Below are 7,132 nucleotides of genomic sequence, written 5' to 3'. Positions count from 1 at the left end.
CAGGTCTGTTGGAGTTTGCTAGAAGTTCACTCCGGACCCTGTTTGTCTGGTTATCAGCAGCGGTGTCTGCAGAACAGGGGTTTTTCGTGAACCGCGAATGCTGCTGTCTGATCATTCCTCTGGAAGTTTTTTCTCAGAGGAGTACCCGGCTGTGAAGTGTCAGTCTGCCCCTACTGGGGGGTGCCTCCCAGTTAGGCTGCTCGGGGGTCAGGGGTCAGGGACCCTCTTGAGGAGGCAGTCCGCCCTTTCTCAGATCTCCAGCTGCGTGCTGGGAGAACCACTGCTCTCTTCAAAGCTGTCAGACAGGGACATTTAAGTCTGCAGAGGTTACCGCTGTCTTTTTATTTGTCTGTGCCCTGCCCCCAGAGGTGGAGCCTACAGAGGCAAGTAGGCCTCCTTGAGCTGTGGTGGGCTCCACCCAGTTGGAGCTTCCCGGCTGCTTTGCTTACCTAAGCAAGCCTGGGCAATGGCGGGCGCCCCCCCCCCCAGCCTCGCTGCTGCCTTGCAGTTTGATCTCAGACTGCTGTGCTAGCAATCAGCGAGACTCTGTGGCTGTAGGACCCTCCTAGCCATGTGCTGGATATAATCTCCTGGTGTGCCATTTTTTAAGCCGGTCAGAAAAGCACAGTATTCGGGTGGGAGTGACCCGATTTTCCAGGTGCCATCTGTCACCCCTTTCTTTGACTAGGAAAGGGAACTCCCTGACCCCTTGTGCTTCCCGAGTGAGGCAATGCCTCGCCCTGCTTTGGCTGGTGCACAGTATGCTGCACCCACTGACCTGCGCCCACTGTCTGGCACTTCCTTGTGAGTTTCACTTGCGTCCGTGTGAAGAGACCACCAAACAGGCTTTGTGTGAGCAATAAAGCTGTTTATTTCACCTGGGTGCAGGTGGGCTGAGTCCGAAAAGAGAGTCAGTGAAGGGAGATAAGGGTGGGGCCATTTTATAGGATTTCAGTAGGTAAAGGAAAATTACAGTCAAAGGGGGTTGGTTCTCTGGCGGGCAGGAGTGGGGGTCACAAGGTGCTCAGTGGGGGTGTTTTTGAGCCAGGATGAGCCACGAAAAGGACTTTCACAAGGTAATGTCATCACTTAAGGCAAGGACTGGCCATTTACACTTCTTTTGTGGTGGAATGTCATCAGTTAAGGTGGGGCAGGGCATATTCACTTCTTTTGTGATTCTTCAGTTACTTCAGGCCATCTGGGCATATTCATGCAAGTCACAGGGGATGTGATGGCTTGGCTTGTGCTGAGAGGCCTGACATTCCTGCCTTCTTATATTCATAAGAAAAATAAAACAAAATAGTGTTGAAGTGTTGGGGCATCGAAAATTTTTGGGGGATAGTGTGGAGAGATAATGGGCGATGTTTCTCAGGGCTGCTTCCAGCGGGATTAGGGGTGGCGTGGGAACCTAAAGTGGGAGCGATTAAGCTGAAGGAAGATTTTGTGGTAAGGGGTGATATTGTGGGGTTGTTAAAAGAAACATTTGTCATTTAGAATTATTGGTGATGGCCTGGATACAGTTTTGTATTAATTGAAAAACTAAATGGAATAAGAGAAGGAGAAAAACAGGTATTAAAGGACTAAGAATTGGGAGGACCTGGGACATCTAATTAGAGAGTGCCTAAGGAGGTTCAGCATAGCCTTGCCAGCAAAGATTATTTATTTACTTTAAGTGTTAAGAGTGGCAGTTTGGGGACAGTACCAGGAGATATCAGCTGTGATGGCTTGGAGAAACAGAGTAAACACGAGCAGGGCATGTATGAGTAGTTGAGAACGGTGAATAGGAGTATGACTAGACAGAAGATAGTAGGGATGACCAGTTTTTTGGGGGCACAGTCTAAGTTGGTCTGGTGTCTGTAATGAGACTGGGGCCTAATAAAAAGGAGCATCTATACAGGAGCTTAAATGGGCTGTTATCTTGTTGCATTCCGAGGACAGGCCTGAATTCTGAGAAGCAAAAGTGGTAAAAGTATTGTCCAGTCCTTCTTAAGTTGGTGGCTGAGCTGGGTGAGGTGTGTTTTTAATAGACTATTAGTCTGTCACTGAATACTAAGAGCCTGAAAAAATGCTTGGCTGATTTGACTAATAACGGTTGGTCCGTTATCAGACTGTATAGAGGTGGGAAGGCTAAACTGAGGAATTATGTCTGACAGAAGGGAAGAAATGACTGCAGTGGCCTTCTCAGACCCTATAGGAAAGGACTCTACTTATCCAGTGAAAGTATCTACCTAGACTAAGAGTTATTGTAGTTATCTTACTTGCGGCATGCTGAGTAAAGCTAATTTGCCAGTCCTGGGTTGGGGCAAATCCTTGAGCTTGATGTGTAGGGAAGGGAGGGGGCCTGAATAATCCATGAGTAGTAGTAGAATAGCAGATGGAACACTGAGAAATTATTTCTTTGAGGATAGATTTCCATGCTGGAAAGGAAATGAGAGATTCTAAGAGGCAGGCTAGTGGCTTGTACTATAGCATAGCCTGCCTTTGCTGGTGTGTGGTGATTAGGCCTGGTGGAACTGCCATCAATAAACTAAGTGTGATCAGGGTGAGGAACAGGGAAGAAGGAAATGTGGGGAAATGGGGTGAATGTCAGGTGGATCAGAGAGGTGCAGTCATGGGGGACAGATGTGGTATCTGGAATAATGTGGAGGCCGGATTGAAGTCCGGGGCAGGAACAATGGTAATTGTGGAGAATTAAGAAACAGTGAGTACAGCTGAAGGAGCCGGGGAGCAGAAAGTATATGCATCATGTATGAGGAAGAAAATAGATTTTGGAAGTTATGAGAACTGTAGAGAGTGAGTTGAGCATAGTTTGTGATTTTGAGGGCCTCTAGAAGTATTAAAGCAGTGGCAGTCGCTGCACGCAGACATGAGGGCTAGGCTAAAACAGTAAGGTCAAGTTGTTTGGACAGAAAGGCTACAGGGTGTGGTCCTGGCCCTTGTGTAAGAATTCTGACCATGCTAACCATGCCTAGGAAGGAAAGGAGTTGTTTTGTAGAAGGTGCTGGGATTTGAGAGATCAGTCGGACATGATTGGCAGGGAGAGCACATGTGTTTTTATGAGAATTATGCCGAGATAGGTAACAGATGAGGAAGAAATTTGGGCTTGATTGAAGTAATGGGGGCTGTCTGTGAAGCTTTGCGGCTGTACAGCCTAGGTAATTTGCTGAGCTTGATGGGTGTCAGGGTCAGTCCAAGTGAAAGCGAAGAGAGGCTGGGATGAAGGGTGCAAAGGAACAGTAAAGAAAGCATGTTTGAGATCTAGAACAGAATAATGGGTTGTAGAGGCACGTATTGAGGATAGGAGAGTGTATGGGTTTGGCACCATGGGGTGCATAGGCAAAACAATTTGGTTGATAAGGCGCAGATCCTGAACTAATCTGTAAGACTTGTCCAGTTTTTGGGCAGGAAAAATGGGGGAATTGTAAGGAGAGTTATAGGTTTTAGAAGCCCATGCTGTAGCAGGCGAGCGATAATAGGCTTTAATCCTTTTAAAGCGTGCTGTGGGATGGGATATTGGCGTTGAGTGGGGTGAGGGTGATTAGGTTTTAATGGGATGGTAACAGGCATGTGATCGGTTGCCAGGGAAGGAGTGGAGATGTCCCATACTTGTGGGTTAAGGTGGGGGAATAGGAGAGGAAGATACACAGGAGGCTTTGGGTTGGGGAGAAGGGCAGCAATGAGATGCAGCTGTAGTCCAGGAATAGTCAGGGAAGCAGATAATTTGGTTAAAATATCTCGGCCTAATAAGGGAACTGGGCAGGTGTGGATAACTAAAAAAGAGTGCACAAAAGAGTGTTTTCCAAGTTGGCACCAGAGTAGGGGGGTTTTCAGGGGTTCAGAAGCCTGGCCATCAATACCTACAACAGTTATGGAGGCAAAGGAAACAGGCCCTTGAAAAGAAGGTAATGTGGAGTGAGTAGCCTCCGTATTGATTAAGAAGGGGACGGGCTTACTTTCCACTGTGAGAGTTACCCGAAGCTCAGCATCCGTGATGGTTTAGGAGCTTCCCAGGTGATTGGGCAGTGTCAGTCTTTAGCCGCTAAGCCAAGAAGGAGTCAGTCAGACAGCCTTGGGCCAGAATTCCAGGGGCTCTGGGAGTGGCTGCCAGGTGAGTTGAACAGTCCGATTTCCACTGGGGTCCCACACAGATGGGACATGGCTTAGGAGGAATCCCAGGCTGCGGGCATTCCTTGGCTCAGTGGCCAGATTTTTGGCACTTGTAGCAAGCTCCTGGGGGAGGAGGTTCTGGAGGAATGCCTGGCCGCTGCGGTTCAGGCGTTTGGAAATTCTTGTGTGCTAGAGATGTGGCTGGGGTTTGTCTCACAGTGGAGGCAAGGAATTGCAACTTTGTTTTATTATTGTACACCTTGAAAGTGAGGTTAATTAAGTCCTGTTATGGGGTTTGAGGGCTAGATTCCGATTTTTGGAGTTTTATTTAATGTCGGGAGCAGATTGGGTAATAAAATGTATATTGAGAATAAGATGGCCTTTTGACCTTTTAGGGTCTAGGGCTGTAAAGCATCTCAGGGTTGCTGCCGAATGAGCCATGAACTGGGCTGGGTTTTTATATTTGATGAAAAACAGCCTAAACGCTTCTGATTTGGGATAAAGAAAAAGGAGCATTAACCTTGACTATGCCTTTGGCTCCAGCCACCTTTTTAAGAGTAAATTGCTGGGCAGGTGGGGGAGGGCTAGTCAGGGAACAAAGCTGTAAGCCAGACCAGGTGTGAGGAGGGGAGGTGATAAAAGGATTATAGGGTGGAGGAGCAGAGGCTGAGGAAGAATTGGGACTTAGCTCAGCCTGGCAAGGAGGGGAGAGGTCAGATGGGTCTGTAGAAAAGGAAGATTAGAAAGACTTAGCGACGCTTGGGGTTGGGCCTGAGGGGACAGGCGGGAGGGAAAGAAGGAAGATTTGGGATGAATTGCATTGGGCAGAGACTAGGAAGGGACTGATGTGTAAAAGAATGCCTGGACATCAGGCACCTCAGACCATTTGCCCATTTTATGACAAGAATTATTTAGGTCTTGTAGGATGGAAAAATTGAAACTGCCATTTTTCTGGCTATTTGGAACTACTGTCAAGTTTGTATTGGGTTCAAGCGGCATTGCAGAAGAAAAAAGACGCTTAGATTTTAGGTCAGGTGAGAGTTGAAGAGGTCTTAAGTTCTTAAGAATACAGGCTAAGGGAGAAGAAGGAGGAATGGAAGGTGGAAGCTTGCCCATAGTGAAGGAGGCAAGCCCAGAGAAAAGAGTAGAGACATGGAGAAGGGGTGGGGGTTTCTTGCCCTCCAGAAAAGCAGAGAAAGGGTTGGGGCACAGAAATAAGGGATTGGGGCACAGAGATAAGAGGTTGGGGTGTGGAAATAAGGGATTGGGGTGCAGAGATAAGAAGTTGTGGTGTGGAAATAAGGGATTGGGGTGCAGAGATAAGAGGTTGGGGCACGGAAATAAGGGATTGGGGTGCAGAGATAAGAGGTTCGGCACAGAAATAATGGATTGGAGCACAGAGATAAGAGGTTGGGGCACAGAAATAAGGGATTGGAGCGCAGAGATAAGAGGTTGGGGCATGGAAATAAGGGATTGGGGTGCAGAGATAAGAGGTTGGGGCACGGAAATAAGGGATTGGAGCACAGAGATAAGAGATTGGGGCACGGAAATAAGGGATTGGAGCGCAGAGATAAGAGGTTGGGGCACGGAAATAAGGGATTGGAGCGCAGAGATAAGAGGTTGGGGCACGGAAATAAGGGATTGGGGTGCAGAGATAAGAGGTTGGGGCATGGAAATAAGGGATTGGGGTACAGAGATAAGAGGTTGGGGCATGAAAATAAGGGATTGGGGGTTCTTGCCCTCTAGAAAAGTGGGACTTGCCACTAAGGGTGAAGGAGAAGGGGTTGAGGGGTACTTGCTCCTCTCCCAGAAAAGTGGGACTTGCCACTAAGAGTGAAGGAGAACGGGTTGAGGGGTACTTGCCCCTCTCCCAGAAAAGCAGAGAAGGGGTAGAGACAAGGAGAGAAGGGGTTGGGGTACTTGCCCCTTCCCCAGAAAAGCGGGACTTTCTGCTAAGGGTGAAGGACCAAGGCAGGCATCCCTGTGTGGTCTGACACCTTTGAAACGTGGGTGAATAATCAGAGAGGCACCCCTGCAATGATTAAACACCAAGGGAAGGCTGACTTCCCAGTCCATGACCGGCGCCAGAGTTTTGGGTCCACGGATAAAACATGTCTCCTTTGTCTCTACCAGAAAATGAAAGGAATTGAAATTAAGAGAAGGGAGAGATTGAAGTGTGGCACCAAGATTGAAAGGAGAAAGAGGCTGAGGGATAGTGTGGGAGGTTGGAGAAGAGAGTCAAAAGAGGCCGCTTACTGGATTTGAAATTGGTGAGATGTTTCTTGGGCTGGTCGGTCTAAGGACCTGAGGTCGTAGGTGGATCTTTCTCATGGAGCAAAGAGCAGGAGGACGGGGGATTGATCTCCCAAGGGAGGTCCCCCGATCCGAGTCACGGCACCAAATTTCATGTGTGTCCATGTGAAGAGACCACCAAACAGGCTTTGTGTGAGCAATAAAGCTGTTTATTCCACCTGGGTGCAGGTGGGCTGAGTCTGAAAAGAGAGTCAGTGAAGGGAGATAAGGGTGGGGCCATTTTATAGGATTTGGGTAGGTAAAGGAAAATTATAGTCAAAGGTGGTTTGTTCTCTGGCGGGCAGGAGTGGGGGTCGCAAGGTGCTCAGTGGGGGTGTTTTTGAGCCAGGATGAGCCATGAAAAGGACTTTCACAAGGTAATGTCATCACTTAAGGCAAGGACCAGCCATTTACACTTCTTTTGTGGTGGAATGTCATCAGTTAAGGTGGGGCAGGGCATATTAACTTCTTTTGTGATTCTACAGTTACTTCAGGCCATCTGGGCGTATACATGCAAGTCACAGGGGACGCGATGGCTTGGCTTGGGCTCAGAGGCCTGACAGTGAGATGAACTTGGTACCTCAGATGGAAATGCAGAAATCACCCATCTTCTGCGTTGCTCACGTTGGGAGCTGTAGACCGGAGCTGTTCCTATTCGGCCATCTTGGCTCCTCTGGACTCCAGGTTCTTACACATTTTCTTCTGTGCCTATGCTGTGTTCTTCACTGTAATT

General features: G+C 48.2%; 2 annotated features.

The window, feature by feature from the left end:
* Positions 773–1,397: an enhancer, noted in NCBI's record as "OCT4-NANOG hESC enhancer chr12:20921407-20922031 (GRCh37/hg19 assembly coordinates)". NCBI's record gives its function as "activates a minimal SCP1, AML or CMV promoter by ChIP-STARR-seq in naive and primed H9 embryonic stem cells {active_cell/tissue: H9 hESC(naive and primed)}" and the evidence as "EXISTENCE:reporter gene assay evidence [ECO:0000049][PMID:30033119]".
* Positions 6,500–7,132: an enhancer, noted in NCBI's record as "OCT4-NANOG hESC enhancer chr12:20915672-20916304 (GRCh37/hg19 assembly coordinates)". NCBI's record gives its function as "activates a minimal SCP1, AML or CMV promoter by ChIP-STARR-seq in naive and primed H9 embryonic stem cells {active_cell/tissue: H9 hESC(naive and primed)}" and the evidence as "EXISTENCE:reporter gene assay evidence [ECO:0000049][PMID:30033119]".

Source organism: Homo sapiens, chromosome 12 (genome assembly GCF_000001405.40).
Source record: "Homo sapiens chromosome 12, GRCh38.p14 Primary Assembly".
Taxonomy (NCBI): Eukaryota; Metazoa; Chordata; class Mammalia; order Primates; family Hominidae; genus Homo; species Homo sapiens.
Note: the sequence above shows the minus strand (reverse complement) of the source record. Positions and strands in the feature narration are given on the sequence as shown.